The sequence below is a fragment of the Homo sapiens genome, chromosome 19, assembly GCF_000001405.40.
Source record: "Homo sapiens chromosome 19, GRCh38.p14 Primary Assembly".
Classification (NCBI taxonomy): domain Eukaryota; kingdom Metazoa; phylum Chordata; class Mammalia; order Primates; family Hominidae; genus Homo; species Homo sapiens.
In genome coordinates, this window is record NC_000019.10 from 57,428,448 (window position 1) to 57,448,865 (window position 20,418).

At 45.7% G+C, this 20,418-nt stretch overlaps 1 protein-coding gene across 5 annotated transcripts, besides 2 other annotated features; it reads left to right on the top strand.

The window, feature by feature from the left end:
• The first annotated feature begins 117 nt into the window (after positions 1–117).
• ZNF749 (zinc finger protein 749) lies at positions 118–18,654 on the top strand. 5 transcript variants are annotated; one of them, XM_011526956.3, is made up of 3 exons: positions 118–135; positions 13,438–13,564; positions 14,844–18,654. In XM_011526956.3, exons 2-3 carry the CDS (start codon positions 13,444–13,446, stop codon positions 17,036–17,038), a joined length of 2,316 nt encoding a protein of 771 aa, XP_011525258.1. In that variant the 5' UTR covers positions 118–135; positions 13,438–13,443; the 3' UTR covers positions 17,039–18,654. The 5 variants fall into 5 exon arrangements, with proteins under 5 accessions (XP_011525258.1, NP_001308881.1, NP_001018855.2 ...); NM_001321952.2 differs by lacking the exon at positions 118–135 and adding an exon at positions 6,878–7,220; NM_001023561.4 differs by lacking the exon at positions 118–135 and adding an exon at positions 6,878–7,146.
• Positions 6,463–6,762: an enhancer, noted in NCBI's record as "active region_15142". NCBI's record gives its function as "activates an Ori minimal core promoter by ATAC-STARR-seq in GM12878 lymphoblastoid cells {active_cell/tissue: GM12878}" and the evidence as "EXISTENCE:reporter gene assay evidence [ECO:0000049][PMID:35858748]".
• Positions 7,393–7,442: an enhancer, noted in NCBI's record as "active region_15143". NCBI's record gives its function as "activates an Ori minimal core promoter by ATAC-STARR-seq in GM12878 lymphoblastoid cells {active_cell/tissue: GM12878}" and the evidence as "EXISTENCE:reporter gene assay evidence [ECO:0000049][PMID:35858748]".
• Positions 18,655–20,418: the final 1,764 nt, after the last annotated feature.

Here is a 20,418-nt window from a genome sequence, read left to right on the forward strand (position 1 = left end):
TTTGTTTTTAGAGACAGGATCTCACTCTGTCCCCTAAGCTGGAGTACAGTGGCATGATCATAGCTCACTGCCACCTGGAACCCCTGGGCTCAAGTGATCCTCCTGCCTCAGCCTCTCAAGTAGCTGGGACTACAGGTGAGCACCACCACACTTGGCTACTGTTATTATTATTTTGACAAGATTTAATGTAGAAAGTATAGCACCTGTTATCTACCAGGAATAGATGAGGATGATCAGGTACATTTATGTTTGAATCTGAGCGTTTAAGTGTATGGGAAGATATTAGACACTACCTTTCCTCATAAGACACTCAGTGATCTGAATTGAGGAACTTCTAGTTTTTGCTCTCCCACTTCTTGGAAACCCCTATCTACTTTCCTATGTATTTGACTACTTGAGGTAGCTTATACAAGTAGAATCATACAAATGTATTGTTTTGTGACTAGCTTACTTCACTTACAATAAGTCCTCAAGTTCTTCCATGTTGCTGTGTGTGTCAAAATTTCCTTCCTTGCTAAGGCTGAATAATATTCCATTGTATATATATTTTCTTTATCCAGTCATTCATCAATGAATACTTTTTTTTGTGTGTGTGTGTGGTAGAGTTTCGCTCTTGTTGCCCAGGCTGGAGTGCAATGGCGATCTCAGCTCACTGCAACCTCCACCTCCTGGGTTCAAGCGATTCTCCTGCCTTAGCCTCCTGAGTAGCTGGGATTACAGGTGCCCACCAACACGCCTGGCTAATTTTTTGTATTTTTAGTAGAGATGGGGTTTTGCCATATTGGCCGGGCTGGTCTCGAACTCCTGACCTCAGGTGATCTGCCTGCCTCGGCCTCCCAAAGTACTGGGATTACAGGCGTGAGCCACTGCACCCAGCCACATCAATCAACACTTTGATTGTCTCCACATTCTGGCTACTGTGAACATGGGTGTGGAACTATCTTCATGAAGCCCTACTTTAATTTCTTTTTGTATATACCCAGAAGTAAAATTGCTGGATCACATATAATTCTATTTTAAAATTTTTTCTTAGTTTTAAATTATCTTTTGGAGACAGGGTATTGCTCTGTACCCAGGCTGGAGTAAGTGGCACAGTCACAGTTCACTGCATCCTTGACATCCTGGGCTCAAGAGATCCTCCTGCCTCAGATTTCCAAGTAGCTAGGACTAAAAGTGTGCCACCACCATGCCTGGTGAATTTTTTTTATTTTTTATTTTTTGAGGCAGGTCTTCCTCTGGCACTCAGGCTGGAGTGGTGCAGTGGTGTAATCTCAGCTTACCACAGTCCAATACCAGGTTCAAGTGATCCTCCTACCTCAGCCTCCTGAGTAGCTGAGACCACAGGTGCACAGCCACCATGGTGGCTGCATCATTTTACATTCTTATCAAAAGGCACATGTTTCTAATTTTTCCACATCCTTGACAACACTTGTTGTGTTCTTCTGTTTCTTTTAATTGTAGCTACTCTGTTCGAATGGATTTTGATTGAAAACATTTGAGGTATGGCTTTTAGGAGACTTGATCTTAATTTCCTAGCCTTTTTGACCTATAGTTTTATTGTGGTTTATTGTGGAAAAAGGTGCCCTGTAGCTGCCTATCCAGGTCAGTCTAATCACCTTTCATCATTCAGGATTTATCATCTGAGGTTCACACCAACATGTATACAAGTGGCATGTCTTAGTCTGTTTTGTGCTTCTATAACAGAATACCACAGGCTGGGTAATTTACAAAGAAGAGACATTTATTGGCTCGTAGTTTGGAGGCTGGGAAGTCCAATACCAAGATACTAGCATCTGGTGAGGGCCTTCTCGCTGCATCATAACATGACAGAAGCCATCAAATGGTAGAAGAGCAAAGAGACAGCAAGAGGGAATAAGAACCCATTCTTGCGATGATAGCATTAGTCCACCTATGAGGGTGGAGCCCTCATGATCTGAAGCCTCTTAAAGGTTCCACCTCTTAATATTGTTACAGTGGCAATTAGATTTCAGCATGAGTTTGGAGAAGACAAAGGTTTAAACCATAACATGGTGTAAGTCACATAACTCTGGGTCATATGCATATGAAAGAATTCGAAATTTCTCTATGAACACATGCTAGTCTTATTTGGGTTTAGAGAAATCTTTAGTTGCAGCTGTTAATTCATCCTGGGTCCAAGGTTTACATCTGACAGTTGCCTACATACTTGGCTCTTGAAAGCATAGATCTTTAGAGGTAATTGGCATTTTGGAATTTTAGGATATTTTTTGGGAAAATAAAGGGGGCCTGGGCAAAGGATAGAAGAGGGAGGAGGTGCAGAAGGAGAAAGATTAGGCAGGGTACGGTGGCTCACGCCTGTAATCCCAGCACTTTGGGAGGCCAAGGTGGGCAGATCACGAGGTCAGGAGATTGAGACCATCCTGGCCAACATGGTGAAACCCCGTCTTTACTAAAATACAAAAAATTAGCTGGGCGTGATGGTGCGTGCCTGTAGTCCCTGCTACTCAGGAGGCTGAGGCAGGGGAACCACTTGAACCCGGGAGGCAGAGATTGCAGTGAGCCGAAATTGTGCCACTGCACTCCAGCCTGATGACAGAGCAGGACTCTGTCTCAAAAAAAAAAAAAAAAAAAGAGAAAGATTAGAAGGGTAAAGGGGAAGTAGAAGAGTTAGATATAAGGCAGCAACTAGAGGAATAGGAGGGGGAGGATATTGCTTAAGTTTGCCAAATTGTTCAATGGCTTTATTCAAGGAAATTTTTACTGAAACAATTTTTTATTCAGAACCTTGGAGATTGTACAAATACGATTCATTCCAATAAAAAACTACTGCTTACTGGGCCTGAGAAATTTTGTTTTCTTTCTTTTCTAATGCATCTCTTAAATTAACAGTTTTTGTTTTCTTTTCAACTGAAATGTTCCTCCTAGTAGCCACTGAAGGCAAAAATTATCCGGGTGAAGTTATGCCACTTAGAAACCTAAACACTAGAATTGTGATTGTAATCAGAGTACATATAACATGCAGGAGACTTTCCTGGAAAGGAGACGATTTCAATTTAGACGATCCAATAAGTGCTGGCACTGTCTGAGAGGAGTGTAATGATTATGTACCTTAGGCCTGGTTCTACAGCATGATAGGTGGCTACTTCCCCACAAGAACACGACAATCTTCACACCTCAGCATGCAGAAAATCTGAGAATACTCTTTCTGAATGAATGCCTAATTCTCTGGACAAAAAAGAAAAAAAAAAAAGAAAAAGAAGATAAGAGAATCTTATCCCATTTTATCAGTGACCCAAAGCAAAGTCTGTCCAAATGGTCACCAGTCTGTTGAGAATCAGAAAACCCTTGGTCTGTGATATTAGCTGAAACAAGTCACTAGAGCCTATGCTTGAGTTTTTTTTGTTTTTGTTTTTTTAACGGAGTTTCACTCTTGTTGCCCAGGCTGAAGTGCAATGGCGTGATCTTGGCTCACTGCAACCTCTGCCTCCTGGATTCAAGCAATTCTCCTGCCTCAGCATCCCGAGTAGCTGGGATTATAGGCGCATGCCTGGCCAATTTTGTATTTTTTAGTAAAGATGGAGTTTTTAGTAAAGATGGGGTTTCTCCATGCTGGTCAGGCTGATCTCGAACTCCGGACCTCAGGTGATCTGCCTGCCTCGGCCTCCCAAAAGGCTGGGATTACAGGCATGAGCCACCGCGCCCAGCCTATGCTTGAGTTTTACCCTATTATTATCCTCTTCATGACAATGCTTTAAGAAAGTACATCACTAAACTGTTACATATAAGATAGCAAAAAGAGATGAAAAGAAATGGTGTGATACTATCAAGGATGGCAATGTCACGGGAGCCAATTAAAAAAAAAAAGGAGGCGGGGCGCGGTGGCTCACACCTATAATCCTAGCACTTTGGGCGTCTGAGGCAGGCAGATCACCTGAGGTCAGGAGTTCGAAACCAGCCTGGCCAATGTCTCTACTAAAAATACAAAATTAGCCAGGTGTGGTGGCACGAGCCTGTAGTCCCAGCTACTCGGGAGGCTGAGGCAGGAGAATTGCTTGAACCTGGGAGGTGGAGGTTGCAGTGAGCTGAGATCCTGCCATTGCACTGCAGCCTGGGCAACAGAGTGAGACTCTGTCTTAAAAAAAAAAAAAAAAAAAAAAAGGTGGGGGGGACTAAACAGAGTCTAAATAGCCAAGAAACCCAGTGCAAAGACAGTAGTGTTCAAACTTGTTGCTAACTTAACATGTCATCATGGATTTGACAAGGTGTGAAGAGCAAAGCATAAAGGACCTCTGTGGTTACTATACCTGTTTGATGACTATGGCCCATGGTGATGAACAGGTTAGACGTTATTTCACTGGGACCTCTGTAAGTATGATACATTGTAACATAATTTCTACAATGGTCACATCTAATTATATCAATCCTTTGTTCACTGCACCTTCATTAGTAAGAAGTATGCTTAATGGTAGCATTCATGGACTGCAAACAGACAACTTGGAAATAAATGAAGACCCAAATGAGAACAAACATAGCCTATTAAATCAGACCACACCGTAGTAAAGGAGTCATCCACAATCTCTTGCACTCAGCAGAGCTTGAAAGGCAAGCAGAGGTGTAAAAAGCTTCATAGTAGATAAAAGGTAAAGTATTAGGTATGCCATGACTGGAGGCTATAGTCTTGAGGAGTGTGTGTGTGTGTGTGTGTGTGTGTGTGTGTGTGTGTGTGTGAAGGGGTTATTTAGAAGGTTGACATCCTATGTGATTGGCTAGTGATGCACTGACTTTCTCCAGTTGGTCCTAAGTTGAACATATGGGCAACAATTAGAAAGCTGTCAGTTCTTAGTCATGTCTTAGCCATTTTAAGCGAGTTGTTATGTGGGATGTTGTCTGGCTTCCTGGCCTTGTTGCTAGACATAGTATTCTGACTTGGGAGTGGTTACTGTAGATACCACATTAGATTTCTGAATGGGTTGGTGTAGATTATGGGTCAGAGTCAATTTTTATATTTGGTGTAGCCGTTGTCCATTTGTATAGCAAATTTCTCACACCTAAATAAGGAACTATCCACGTTAGTGGGATTTCTTATTTTTAACTGGTTATGTTGAAAATTAGTTTAATATTCATTAATTTCCCACAACCCTTTCAAAGGTTTGTTTTTGCCAGACCTTCAGTTGGGCAGAGTTAATTTTTCCTTTTTTTTTTTTTTTTAAACTGGTTGGCAAACTAAATTGTAACGCTTTGGCCAAAAAATAGCCCTTTCCTTTTCTGAATATAAAGAGAATGGGTTTTAATTTTTGGTCTTTTCTTTGTTCTTCCTTCACTAATCCTGCAGAAGAGACCATAAGGCATTATCCAAATCTTCATTTGTTGGGGGCATGGTTTTCAGGTAGTATTGCCACCACCTGATGGCAATACTATTGCTACTCAATTTTTCTCTCACTGCTACTCAATTGCAGTGAGAGAAAAATAGCTCTAAATGCCGACTTTTTGTAGTGCATTGTAAAAAGCTGAATAAAGCCAGGGACGGTGTCCTGTACCTACAGTCCCAGCTGCTCTAGAGGCTGAGGTGGGAAGATAGCTTTAGCTCAGGAGCTGAGGCCTTATCATAAGGCCTTATAAGACTACCTGGAGGCTTCATCTGCATGATATAACCTTGGTCTTCACAACCCCTTGTCTTTTTTTGTTTTTGAGACGGAGTTTCGCTCTTGTTGCACGGGCTGGAGTACAATGGCGAGATCTCGGCTCACCGTAACCTCCGCCTCCCGGGTTCAAGCGATTCTCCTGCCTCAGCCTCCCGAGTAGCTGGCATTACAGGCATGTGCCACCATGCCCGTCTAATTTTGTATTTTTAGTAGAGATGGGGTTTCTACATGTTGGTCAGGCTGGTCTCGAACTCCCAACCTCAGGTGATCCGCCCACCTCGGCCTCCCAAAGTGCTGGGATTACAGGCGTGAGATACCACGCCCGGCCCACAACCCCTTAACCCAGACAACCATTTCTACTGATTCCAGGTCTTTAGATACAAACTCTTTCAACCAATTGCCAATCGGAAAATCTTTGAACCCACCTGACCTGGAAGCCCCGCCCCTCCCTTCCAGTTGCGCCTTTCCAGAGGAATCCAATGTACATTTTACATGTATTGATTGATGTCTTACGTCTTCCTAAATTGTTAAAACCAAGCTGTAGATGGGCCACCCTGGGCATATGTTCTTAGGATATCTTGGAGCCGTGTCATGGGCCATTAGTCACTCATATTTGTCTCAGAATAAATCTCTTCAACTATTTCACAAAGTTCCACCCTTTTCGTCGACAGAAAGATATTCCTCCTTCAACTCTCCATCACATCCTGTGTGGGTCTTTTCTTTCTTGTCCCAACAGAAGCACACTAACGATCAAAAAAAAGTCTCCAGAGCCTCAGTATGTGTGTACTTGACAAGCACAAAAGAGCTGACCGCTATGAATGGAGGACCAGTTCATTATGGTCAGCCATGTCGCTTCTGATGTTCTTCCTTTCGGGACTTGCTGTGCTTCAGAGAATCTGAAACGACAGGTCTCTGAAATATTTCTCAGACTTGTCCTAGACTGCTCTCCGGGAAAATCTGGTTACTTGCAGTTTAGGAGTCAGCAAAGCCCCTCCACGTCCTTAAGAGCCCCGGAACTGCATTTCTTAACGCTCCTCCAGGAGCCTCCAGCTTTTTTCCGTAAGGTCCGCGCGCCCAGCATTGTGAGGCGAGGCAGGCAGCAGCGTGGGAACTACATTACCCAGAAGACACTGCGGGCGACACAGGCAGCAACGTGAGAACTACATTACCCAGAAGACACTGCGGGGGCAGGGCAGCGAGTGTAGCCATTGGTCTAGCAGAGAGACGACTAATGAGGTCTCAATTGTGTGGGCGGGACTTCTGGCGGCGCCCTCATGGTTGCGTTAGCATGGCTACCTAGGGATCTGTTCACTGATTTAGAGGGTCCCAGAGCTCTGGGTCGGGACTGAGGTGAAAGAGCGGAAAAACGCGAGAAGCGGTGTTCCTTCTACACAGAGGCTAGAGTGCGGATCGGCTGAGTCGGCTGCAGGCGCCCCTGCCTCCGTCAGCGTCCAGGTGACCGCCGTTCCCGCCCCGCTCTTCCCTGGGTGGACTGGAGGAGGCCGCGCCGATGAACCTGACCGAGGTGCGTGCAGCGTCCCAGGCCGCCCCGCCCAACCCCTCCTCCCAGTGCTGAAGTCCCAAGGAGCCGCCCTGCAGGTTAGGCCCTTGTGTCTCTAAGAGAGGGGCGTTCTTGTGTGGGGTGCCCGGGACTGGGACTGCGGTGCGATGAGGCGGGGGAGCTCCCGTCGGAGACCGACACGTCTCTGGGGCTTGGAGGCACTGCAGAACGGGCGGCACTGGGGAGCCCGAGCGTCTTTGTCTCCAAGGAGCAGAGGTTGAGGCGGAGTCTCCCCTGGAAGGGCAGTGGAGCCGCAGAGAGCCATAGAGGGCTGTGCAGGGAGGACGAATGGGAGGGTCACGCCCAGAGTTAGAAGTTTAAAGTTGGGGAAAACAGGATGTTGAACGGGGGCAGGGGGACCGCTGAGGAGACCCCTTGAGTTATGGTAGGGCTGGGCCAGAGGGGTTGCAGTAGAGGGGAGATGTGATGAGACTCTGGATGGATCTCAGAGATAGGGTCAACAGGATTTCCTGCTGCATCAAACATAGCTGTGAGGGAAAGTCGGTAGTGAATGGTGTCTTCCATAGGTTTTGTTTTGGCCTGAAAAATCTGAAAGAATGGAATTAGAGATATCAGCTTAAGGAGCGGGTTTCAGACAGAAGATCCTGGGTTGGATTTTGGGCGACATCACATGGGTAGGTGGACGTAATTTCCAAAGGTGAGGGAAGGTAGCTGGCCTGGAGCTTTAAATGAGTTAGAAGTTGTGCACTTGAGAAGTTGGCCTGTGGATCAGATTGAGAAGGAAGAATCCTACATCGTTTTTTCATATGGGCTGAGGTAGGGGAGGGCTCAGATTTGGAGGAAAGACCATGGTAGGGAGGGCATCTCTGATACTCCCTGCAGAAGGGAGCAGATATGGGCTAAGAGTCTGGTCTGTTTCTGTTGAAAAAGAGGCCTGGATGGATAAGGAGTTGCCCTGGAATACAGAGACTGAGGCATGAGATAATTGTAGTCACTCCACCCTTCTAACTCAGCTGGCCCTGAGGGCCACTCTTTAGGGAACAAGATAAGGCCATGCAGCAACTGGGTCCAAAACTGGGCAGGGCTTTCTCACATCCTCCACCACAGTTAAGGGCCTCCAGCAAGCTCCCTTTACTGCATTATATGGCAGGCTGACCTGTTTGCTGAACGGACCAGTAACTGATTGACTGCTCAGCCCCATCCTACAACTCATTAACTTAGGGATGTAAAAACAGGTAATTGACTTAAACAGTAAGGAACTATATCAATCTTAAATAACCAAGCAAGTCAGAATCTAGTTTAAAGAGAGTTTATTCAAGTTCACATGTTGATGATAGCCATCTGGGACCATAGATTCAAGTTGTCCTGAATATACACTTCAATTACCACAGTGACAAGTGTTTGCTTTTTTTTTAAGGAAAAAAGAAGCAGTTTCTGAGTTGTTTACCAATAACTTATGTTAAAATAAGATAAGTTTTTATTGGCTATACATTCTTATTTATATTATAGATTACAGAAACATGAAGATAATAGGTGAGACAGCTAGTCAGGAACAGAATGTCTTAAAACAGTTGTCCTCAGGCATAGGTTCAGGGATGTGACTGACATCTCATATATTCTTGCCTCTCTGAGCCTGATACATTTTGTGTAGGTCAGACAGGTCTGGGCTATTTTTTTTTTTCCTCAGCCAATATCCTTCTAAATATGTACACATAGGCAATTGGAAATAGATGTAATCAATAATTTAAATGTATTAAAATATTTATTGTTAGAATGTTAATTTACCTGTAACTCTGCTTATAGTACAAAGCTTTATATATATATCACATTTCCTTAAAACATTAAGAAGTGTGGGCTGGGCACAGTGGCTCATGCCTGTAATCCCAGCACTTTGGGAAGCGAAGGTGGGCGGATCACGAGGTCAGGAGTTTGAGACCAGCCTGGCCAACATGGTGAAACTCTGTCTCTACTAAAAATACAAAAATTACCTGGGCGTGGTGGCGGGCGCCTGTAATCCCAGCTACTTAGGAGGCTGAGGCAGGAGAATCGTTTGAACCCGGGAGGTGGAGGTTCCAGTGAGCTGAGATTGTGCCATTGCACTGCAGCCTGGGCAACAGGGCGAGACACTGTCTCAAAAAAAAAAAAAAAAAAGGGAAAAATACTCAAATTTTCAAAACCCTTCTACTTTGTGCTGAAAACATGTACAAAACCATTAATCCTATAGAAAGTAATGCTTATACATAGTGTGTACTACTTATGCTTCTTGTCAATATGAGCCCTGTGAAGTGGGAACCCTTTTAATCTCCATTTTACACATAAGGGCACTGAGGCTTAGGGAGGTTCAGTCCTTGTCCAAAGACACAGAGCTGCTAAGAGGCAGCACTGAACTTAGGACTTGCTGTAGCTTCAGATTACTTTGCTCCAGTACAGGGCAGAGATGGTTGTACAGCTCAGCCTGTAGGATGCCACAGTACTGTCCTGATACTCATGGCTTGCTTCTTCCTGTTACAGGCCGAAAGAATGAGGGTCGTGATCAACTCAGTATGCCACTGGAGGCTATATGAGTAAACAGCAAACTGTTTCTCATGAAAGCAGGATGTTGGCAAACTGACAAACTGCGTCTGCCACCCAGAAGGAATGCTGAAGGCAGTCACGACCCAGGCACAAGTGTTTCTTGTGATTAGGCATAATTGAAGCCTGTTAACAATAATGTGAACTTGTGATCAATTAAGCAGCTGACCAGTCGTTACCTCCTCCTCCCTTTCATCCTACCCAATAAATGTGGAGGGCTGTGGAAGCTCAGGGGCTGCCTTTGCTCACTAGAAGCAGGGAGCTCTCTTCTTCCCCAGTTCGCCTTCTTTAAAACAGTTTCTTTCGTCTTAAGTTTTCATTTCTACGTTCGTCCCCCTTCATTCAGTCTCGTAATGATGGTCTCAAGTAGTAACAGTAACTGTCGTAGTGATGGTCTCAAGTAGTAACTGTACAAGTCTGCCACATCTTCCCACAGGGTCCATTGCAGTGGCAGCAATGCATAAGGACCCTGCACAGGTAAGTCAAGGATTTCTCAGGCTCTCTACCCCAGGCCCCCACCACTTATCTCTCCGTTATTTTAGGCATCCTGATATAGGGAAAGGTGGTGTCCTGAAACTTCATGTTTTTCCCTTCCTTGGGTCTGAAGACTGTGGTTCCACGACAACCAGGAGTCAGAACTCAGCCTCTGGTTATAGAGTGGTCCTAGTTCCGACAACTGATGGGATAAGATGTGGCAGGGCGTTCAGGCACGGGATATAGAAAGTTCAAATGCTTACTGGTGCGACTTAGCTGGGATGTTTAGTGAACTGAAAATCCATGTTGTATCTGGTCGTGATAGAGTATGGCAGCAGGGTAGGAGGTTGGGGCATACAGGGCATGCGGGATCGGCATGGAATGGCAGTCTAAGGTTCTGGGCCTTTCATCTGAGGGCGATGGTAACTAGGGAAGGTTTGAGGAGGGGGGAAAAAGAGGTGACCTGACCCAGGTTTTAGTGGCTCCCTCTGCCTGCAGAATGGAAGACCACGTGCAGGTGAGGGTGGAGCCACCGATACCTGGGTGATGGGTCCAGCAACAGCCCAGGTGGAGGTTGTTGGTGACTGAACGAGAGTGGCGGTGGTGGAAGTGGGAGGAGTGGGGGGCTTCTGTATGTGTTTGATCTAGAGCTGCCTGTATTTTATAACGTAGAGAGCAAGGAAGCTTGGGAGCTGAGATGGAAGAGGGGGTCAGGAATGGCCCCACAGTTTTGGCCTTATTTGGAAGGATGGATGTCCCAGCAACTAAGATGTAGTAAGTTCTGTAGTAGGGGGAGTGTTTATATAGTAGAGCATATGAGGAACCAAGTTTTGGCCAAGTCAAAAATGTTCCAGTGGCCAGGCATGGTGGATCACACCTGTAATCCCAGCACTTTGGGAGGCAGAGGTGGGAAGATTGCTTGAGGCCAGCCTGGGCAACATAGGGAGACTCTGTCCCTACAAATAATAATAAATAGCTGGGTGTGGTGGCGTCTCTCTGTGGTCTCAGCTAATCGGCGTGCTGAGGCAGGAGGGTCACCTGAGCCTGGGAAGTAAAGGCTGCAGTGAGCCATGATTGTGCCCCTGCACTCCAGCCTGGGCAACAGAGTAAGACAAACAAAAACAAAAATCCAAGCCAAAACAAAAACAAAAATACACAAAAAATGTTTCAGAGACTTTGAGTGGAGGTGCCAGGCTGGCAGTTGTACACACAGGAATGGAGTTCATTGGAGGTGTTCAGGAAGGAGACATCCACTACATGATAGCTGAACTGTTGTGAAACTGGGTCAGATTTAGGAAGCAATGGTGTTAGTAGGAAGGAAGGAGAAGGAACAGACTGAGGACTGGGTGTCTCCACTGGGCACCTGGATGGTGTTGGTGGGTGTCACAAAGACAGATGAGAGAGTGGATCGACTGAGGGTATGTGTGTGTATGTTTGTGTGTTATGTTGGGGGCAGCCTGTGGAGTATAAGGAAGGGCTTTTGAGGGGAGAGTGGCCATGAGATGGATGGTGAGGCATCTCCACAAACTCACCAGGGTTTCATGGTGAGTCTTGCTTGGACCTGGGTAGTTTCATGCAAACTGTGAGACTACTTTAGGGGAAGATGGGATCAGCAAGGAGCATTGCTAGGCCTGGGGTGGGGATAGCATTGGGGAGGTCAGTGTATCTGGGCTTTGGATTAGGATTAGGGGGATAGAGAATGTTGTGACTGCTTATGGGAAAACATGTACATTGCAAAAGGGGGAGACAGCCAAGATCTGGAACTCAGAGGAGGTATGCAAGAACTGTGAGGTTGTCACTTGGGTTTTGGGGGGGCTGAGGTTAAACCAGAAAACAGGACTGGGAAGGGAGACCTTCAGAACAGGGCTCGGTGCTGCCCCAGGCGCTAGGGAACATTATATTCTGGGCAGCCCAGGAGCAAATAGGGTTCTGGTGCACTGCAGGACTCCATGTACAGAGTGGCATCTTGGGAGGCCATGGAAATGCTCCTGGTTGGGCCAGGGCTGCTGTTAGTATTGCAAGAGTGGAGGCATTAGATACATGAGAGAGGTACTGTCCAAAGCGAGATGCGAAGGTGAGGAGGAGCATGAATGCGTGGTCCCAGCCCTGGCAATGGGCACGTAAGGGAGAAGAGTGAGCCTGAGTTTGGGTGTCTGGGAGGCAAGATCTGGAGACCCCAAGGAAATGGGGTGACAAAAGAAGGTAGGGCCGGCCGGGCGCAGTGGCTCATGTCTGTAATCCCAGCACTTTGGGAGACCAAGGCAGGTGGATCACGAGGTCAGGAGTTCGAGACCCGCCTGCCCAACATGGGGAAACCCCGTCTCTACTAAAAATACAAAAATTAGCCGGGAGTGGTGGCAGGTGCCTGTAATCCCAGCTACTCAGGAGGCTGAGGCAGGAGAATTGCTTGAACCTGGGAGGCAGAAGTTGCAGTGAGCCACTGCACTCCAGCCTGGGTGACAGAGCAAGACTCTTGTCTCAAAAAAAAAAAAAAAAAAAAAAAGAGGGTAGGGCGCCCTGGGCTAGGCATTGATGATGCTTTTGCTTTCTCCCCACCCATCTTTGTGCTGTGCTGGACTCAGCAATCAGTAGCAGTGGGGGCGAGAGAAGTGCGAATGCTACCAGGATGTGGAGTCTCTTCCTCCTTGGGAAGTGGGTGGAGGCTAAGCAGGGGATGGATGTGTGTGGGTACTGGGGAAGCACTGAAGATTCTGGAGAGGGAAGTGTATCAGTGATTGACCCGCTGGATTTTCATTTTTGGAAAAGAGTGAGTGATGACAGAGAGGCTAATGGCATTGAAATAATTTTAATTACTTTCATTTCCTTAGTGCAGGGGGAATGCCGTGCTGCACCAGGCCACGGGAAATACTAGATTTGGTTAGGAGGCAGAGGCATGACTGAAGGGAAAGCATATATCAGAGACTGTATTGGGGTTTTGGCAGGAAAGGCATGCAGGGTGGGATGAGGAGCTTAAAACTCAGTGGTTTGCATAAGTCTGGCAGCCTTAGGGCTAAGAGATTATCCCTTATTGTGTGGTGACAGGGCTTGTGTTGATTAGGACAGGAGAAATAATCATGTATGAGCATTAGATAGTGGTTCAGCATATGGGATCTGGATCGCAAGGGAAATGTAAAAACATTGGCTGTTAGTTTGGCCCTCCAATTCTTAGATTTTAAGTAGATAAATACAGATCTAAGGAAACACAGAATAAGAAGTTGTTCATAGACTGAAGTGTCATAATTTTGGCAGGATTGTATGGTCTTTGAGGATGTGGCCATATATTTCTCCCAAGAGGAATGGGGGATCCTTAATGATGCTCAGAGACACCTGCACAGCAATGTGATGTTGGAGAACTTTGCGCTTTTGTCATCAGTAGGTAAGGCCTTCATACCTACTCTGGTGTCTTGTGCTGGGTGCTGTTTTTTTGCTCTTTTCCATGACAACTCTGTCTTTCCCACACCAGATTGTGAGTGCTACGTCCTGTCCTCTCCTGGTTTCCTGGCAAATGTGATAAGGCAGCCAGAGCTGGGCTGTGTATACTGTACCACCTCCCCTTAAGCAGCCCCAGCTTCTGTTGCTCTGAAACTTTACAAGATAAGGCTCGGAAGTCAGAAATCTTCAGGTTTCTTTAAGATATCCTAATGGCGGTGCCTGTCCCTGGTTTGATTACTCTGTCCAAATGTGTGAAACCTCTGTCCAAGGGTTTCCCTGTTCCCCTTGCTGACATACTTGGAGACAGTGTCTGTGCTAGGAATTTCAGGCACCTCCCTGGTCACCACTTGTGAGGATTGTGAAGTTATTTCTGCAGGACGCTCTACTGGGTGTTCTGGTAGCTTTAGAATGCAGCATGTCCTGGGTTTATTGCTCTGTGTACATGCTGTCCCCTCCCTTTCCCTGCCTTTCCCGTAGCTGGACTTATGCCGCAGCTAGATAGTTGCTCACCTTGAGCAAGGGGGAGGTCTCTGGGTGCCTGGCAGAGTGGATAGTCCTCTATTAATGGCAAGAGACACTCAGAAGGACTTGGCCCTGGTGGGTGAAAGCTGGGAAAGGATGTGATATCAAGGCTGGGTTCAAATCACATTGAGAACTTACCTTGTGACCACTATTGTTTGATGCAGGGCCACTGGCCACTCGTCACTCTTCCTTTCCTTCCCTGTTGTTATTTTTACTCTGACTTCTGACCCCTGGCTTCCACCTCTGACCCCTCCTCTCCAGCCTTCATCTCTCCACCATTCTCTTCCACCTCTCCCTTTGCAGTGCTGTCTAATGTATGACCTGTACTTTAGGTGTTATGAGGTCTGCGTGTATCCTTCAGTAGTCCATGAATACTCGCTCTCACACAATCAGATCTCTCTGGATCTGGACACAACCGTCATGGCCTGTTGAAAGCCATTTATAGAGGAGTGAGTTGGAGACCCCACCTGCCCTCCCTGCATGGTACTTCTCCCTTGTGTCCTTACCACCAGGATTCCCCCACTACACACACTTCACAGGCCCACCTCTGAACACTGGGCCTTCCTCTCACTGGCCTTATTTCCTTGCCTGTGACCAGTCCTGTGCCCTCATTTGTGGGTGTGTCTCACAGACATTTGTGATGGGGCTGTCTCCTCCCTCCGGAGTTCACGTGCACTTCACCAGCATTTCTGTTCTTACAGGTTGTTGGCATGGAGCCAAGGATGAGGAGGTACCTTCCAAGCAGTGTGTTTCTGTAAGAGTGTTACAGGTCACAATTCCAAAGCCAGCTTTGTCCACCCTGAAGGCCCAGCCCTGCAAGATGTGTAGCTCAATTCTGAAGGACATTCTGCACCTGGCTGAGCACGATGGAACACACCCTGAGCAAGGGCTGTACACATGTGCAGCAGAGCATGACCTGCACCAAAAGGAGCAGATTAGAGAGAAGCTCACCAGAAGTGATGAGTGGAGGCCTTCATTTGTGAACCACAGTGCTCACGTGGGAGAGAGGAACTTCACATGCACGCAGGGTGGCAAGGATTTTACTGCCAGCTCAGACCTTCTCCAGCAACAGGTCTTAAACAGTGGGTGGAAGCTGTACAGGGATACCCAGGATGGGGAAGCCTTTCAAGGTGAACAGAATGATTTCAACTCCAGCCAAGGTGGGAAAGACTTTTGCCACCAACATGGGCTGTTTGAGCACCAAAAAACCCATAATGGGGAGAGGCCTTATGAGTTCAGTGAATGTGGGGAATTGTTTAGGTACAACTCCAACCTTATTAAATATCAGCAAAATCATGCTGGAGAAAGGCCTTATGAGGGCACTGAATATGGAAAGACCTTTATTAGAAAGTCCAACCTAGTTCAGCACCAGAAAATTCACAGTGAAGGCTTTCTTTCAAAAAGGTCTGACCCCATTGAACATCAGGAGATTCTCAGTAGACCAACACCTTATGAATGCACCCAGTGTGGGAAGGCCTTTCTTACACAGGCTCATCTGGTTGGTCACCAGAAAACCCATACTGGAGAACAGCCCTATGAATGCAACAAGTGTGGGAAGTTTTTTATGTATAACTCCAAACTCATCAGACATCAGAAAGTTCACACTGGGGAGAGGCGTTACGAGTGCAGTGAATGTGGGAAATTGTTTATGGACAGCTTCACACTCGGTAGACATCAGAGAGTTCATACTGGAGAAAGGCCTTTTGAATGCAGCATATGTGGAAAATTCTTTAGTCACCGCTCCACACTCAATATGCACCAGAGAGTTCATGCTGGCAAAAGGCTTTATAAGTGTAGCGAATGTGGGAAAGCCTTTAGCCTCAAACATAATGTTGTTCAGCATCTGAAAATTCATACTGGAGAACGGCCTTATGAGTGCACTGAATGTGAGAAGGCCTTTGTTAGAAAGTCCCACCTAGTTCAGCACCAGAAAATCCACACTGATGCATTTTCAAAAAGGTCTGACCTCATTCAACACAAGAGGATTGACATTAGGCCAAGGCCTTATACATGCAGTGAATGTGGGAAGGCCTTCCTTACACAGGCTCATCTGGTTGGTCACCAGAAAATCCATACTGGAGAACGGCCTTATGAATGCACTCAATGTGCGAAGGCCTTTGTTAGAAAGTCCCACCTAGTTCAGCATGAGAAAATCCACACTGATGCATTTTCAAAAAGGTCTGACCTCATTCAACACAAGAGGATTGACCTCAGGCCAAGGCCTTATGTGTGTAGTGAATGTGGGAAGGCCTTCCTTACACAGGCTCATCTAGATGGTCACCAGAAAATCCAGACTGGAGAACGGCGTTATGAATGCAATGAATGTGGGAAATTCTTTTTGGACAGCTACAAACTTGTTATTCATCAGAGAATTCACACTGGAGAAAAGCCTTATAAATGCAGCAAATGTGGGAAATTCTTTAGATATCGCTGTACACTGAGTAGACATCAGAAAGTTCACACTGGAGAAAGACCTTATGAGTGTAGTGAATGTGGGAAATTTTTTAGAGATAGCTACAAACTCATTATTCATCAGAGAGTTCATACTGGAGAAAAGCCTTATGAATGCAGCAACTGTGGGAAGTTTCTTAGATACCGCTCTACATTCATTAAACATCATAAAGTTTGCACTGGGGAGAAGCCTCATGAGTGCAGTAAATGTAGGGAATTGTTTAGGACTAAATCGAGCCTTATTATACATCAGCAGTCTCACACTGGAGAAAGTCCTTTTAAGTTAAGGGAATGTGGGAAAGACTTCAACAAATGTAATACTGGTCAGCGCCAAAAAACTCACACTGGAGAAAGGTCTTATGAGTGTGGTGAATCCAGCAAAGTGTTTAAATACAACTCCAGCCTCATTAAACATCAGATAATTCATACTGGAAAAAGGCCTTAGTGGAGTGAATGCAGGAAAGTCACCAAAACTGTCACCTCATTCAGCACCAAAAGGTTCACATCGGACCAAGAACCTATTAATATATGTAAATCTAATGTTGAAAGAGTTCAGATGGAAATCTGCGAGGATTTCCTGCTGGGAACTACATTAAAAACATTTATGTCCAGGCGTGGTGGCTCACGCCTGTAATCCCAGCACTTTGGGAGGCAGAGGTGGGTGGATCACCTGAGGTCAGGAGTTTGAGACCAGCCGGGCCAACATGGTGAAGCCCCATCTCTACTAAAAATACAAAAATTAGCTGGGCATGGTGGCAGGTGCCTGTAATCCCAGCTATTCAGGGGACTGAGGCAGGGAGCATCACTTGAACCTGGGAGGCGGAGGTTGCAGTGAACTGAGATTGTTCCATTGCACTCCAGCCTGGGTGACAGGGCGAGACTCTGTCTCAAAAAGAAAAAAATTATAATTGTGGCAAATTACAGGTAACTTAAAATCTACCATCTTAACCCATATTTAACTGTACTGTTCAGTAGTGTTAAGTCATTCGCATTGTTGTCAATTAATATCCAGAAGTTTTTTCAACTTAATGAAACTAAAACATTATACCCTTTAAACCAGGGGTCCACAACCCCCAGGCTGCAAACTGGTACCAGTCTGTGGCCTGTTAGGAACCGGGCCAGCATCACTACCTGAGCTTCACCTCCTGTCAGATGAGCAGCATTAGATTCTCATAGCAGCCTGAGCCCTATTGTGAACTGTGCCTGTGAGGGATCTAGGTTGTGTGCTCCTTATGAGAATCTAACTAATACCTGATGATCTGAGGTGGGACAGTTTTATTCTGAAACTGTCTGCCCCCTCCTCTGTCCCTGATGCGTGGAAAAATTGGCTTCCATGAAACCAGTCCCTGGTGCCAAAGAGGTTGGGGACCGCTGCTTTAAACTACTCCTCTTCCTCATTCCCTACGCCAACCAGCCCCTGACAATACTACTGTATGAATTTTACTATAAATATCTCATATGAGGAAACTTAAGTTTTAGTCTTTTGTGACTTATTTTGAGGCTTATTTCCCTAAATGTCTTCAAGGTTTATCCATGTTGTAGCATAGCTTATGATTTTCATCTTTTTTAAAGGCCGAATAAAATCCCATTGTAGTCATGTGTCGCCTAACAAGAGGACTGTGTTCTGAGTAATCATCTTAAGGTGATTTTGTCATTGTGTGAACAAAGAGTGTACTTACACAAACCTGAAGGGCACAGCCTATTACGCACCTAGGCTATATGATATGGTCCATTGCGCCTCAGATATAAACCTTAACAGCATGTTACAGTATTGAATATTGTAGGTAATTGAAACACAATGATAAGTAAATGTGTATCTAAACATATCTAAGTTTCCAAAAGGTACTGTAAAAATGTATGAAAAATGGTAAAAACTTTATAGGGCACTAACATGAACGAAGCTTGCGGGACCCCTCTGGTTGAGTCAGGGAGTGAGTTGTGAGTGAATGTGAAGCTCTAGGACATTACTGTACCCTATTGTAGATGTTATAAACATTGTACACTTAGGCTACTCTAAATTAATTTTTTCTTTAGTAATAAATTAACCTTAGTCTACTGTAACGTTTTTACTTCATGAACTTTTAAAATTTTAAAAAGCTTTTTGACTCTTTTGTAATAATAGCTTAAAACACAAACACATTATACAGCCTGTATAGAAGTACTCCTTTATATTCTATAAACTTTTTCTATTTAATTTTTTAACTTCGTAAAAAATAAGTTAAAAATGAAGACACAGACACACACATTAGTCAAGGCCTACAGAGGGTGAGGATCATTAATATCACTGTCTTTTGCCTCCACATCTTGTCCCACTAGAAGGTTTTCAGGCTCAATAACAGGGAGTTGTTATCTCCTATGATAACAATATTCTGGAATATTTTCTGAAGCCTTGCCTCACACTTTTTTTTTTTTTTTTTTTTTGAGACAGAGTCTCGCACTGTTGCCAGGCTGGAGTGCAGTGGCACAATCTCGGCTCACTGCAACCTCTGCCTCCTGGGTTCAAGTGATTCTCCTGCTTCAGCCTCCCGAGTAGCTAGGATTACAGGTGCCTGCCACCACGCTCAGCTAATTTTTTGTATTTTTAGTAGAGATGGCGTTTCACTATGTTGGCCAGGCTGGTCTCGAACTCCTGACCTCATGATTCGCCCGCCTCAGCCTCCCAGAGTGCTGGGATGACAGGCATGAGCCACCGCGCCTGGCTTTATTTTTTTTTTGAGACAGAGTCTTGCACTGTTGCCTGGGCTGGTGTGTAGTGGTGTGATCTTGGCTCACTGCAACCTCCGCCTCCCGGGTACAAGCGATTCTCCTGCCTCAGCCTCCCGAGTAGCTAGGATTACAGGTGCCCACCAGCATGCCCGGCTAATTTTTTGTATTTTTAGTAGAGATGGGGTTTCACTATGTTGGCCAGGCTGGTCTCCAACTCCTGACCTCATGATCCGCCCATCTCGGCCTCCCAAAGTGCTGGGATTACAGGCATGAGCCACAGCGCCCGGCCTGTGCTCTTTATATGACTGGCAGACCAGTAGGTTTGTTTACACCAGTGTCACCACACACACTTGAGTAATGGGATTGAGTTACAGTGGCTGTGGTGGCACTAGGTGATAGGAGTTGTTTAGCTCTGTTATAATACGGGATTACTGTTATACATGTGGTCCATGGTAGACAGAAATGTGTGGCATATGACTGTGGTATATGTATATGCCACTTTTCCTGTATTCTTTCTTCAGTGTACATTTGGGTTGCTTCCACTCTTCTGTTCTTGTTAATGCCACTATGAGCATGAATATACAAATACCTCCTGAGGCCCTGCTTTAAATTCTTCTTGGACATATACCCAGAAGTGGAAATGGTGCTTCCCGTTAATAATAATAATTATAATAATAATAATTATTATTATTATTTTGAGACGGAGTCTTGCTCTGTCACCCAGGCTGGAGTTCAGTGGCACAATCTCGGCTCACTGCAAGCTCCGCCTCCCGGGTTCACGCCATTCTCCTGCCTCAGCCTCCCAAGTAGCTGGGACTACAGGTGCCCGCCACCACGCCCGGCTAATTTTTTGTATTTTTAGTAGAGACGGGGTTTCACCGTGTTAGCCAGGATGGTCTTGATCTTCCTGACTTTGTGATCCATCCGCCTCAGCCTCCCAAAGTGCTGGGATTACAGGCGTGAGCCACCACGCCTGGCCACTTCCCGTTAATTCTATTTTAAATTGTGGGGGGAATTATTTTCCATAGCAGCTGCACCATTTTACATTCTCACCAGTGCAGGGGTTCTAGTTTTTCACATTATTGCCAACACTTTGTTTTTTAATCATGATGGGTGTAA

What these genes read in the sequence shown, in the direction of transcription:
- ZNF749 (NM_001023561.4), top strand. An exon ending in TGCGCTTTTGTCATCAGTAG is followed by an intron (nt 13,565 to 14,843) that starts GTAAGGCCTTCA and finishes CTGTTCTTACAG; the next exon opens with GTTGTTGGCATGGAGCCAAG.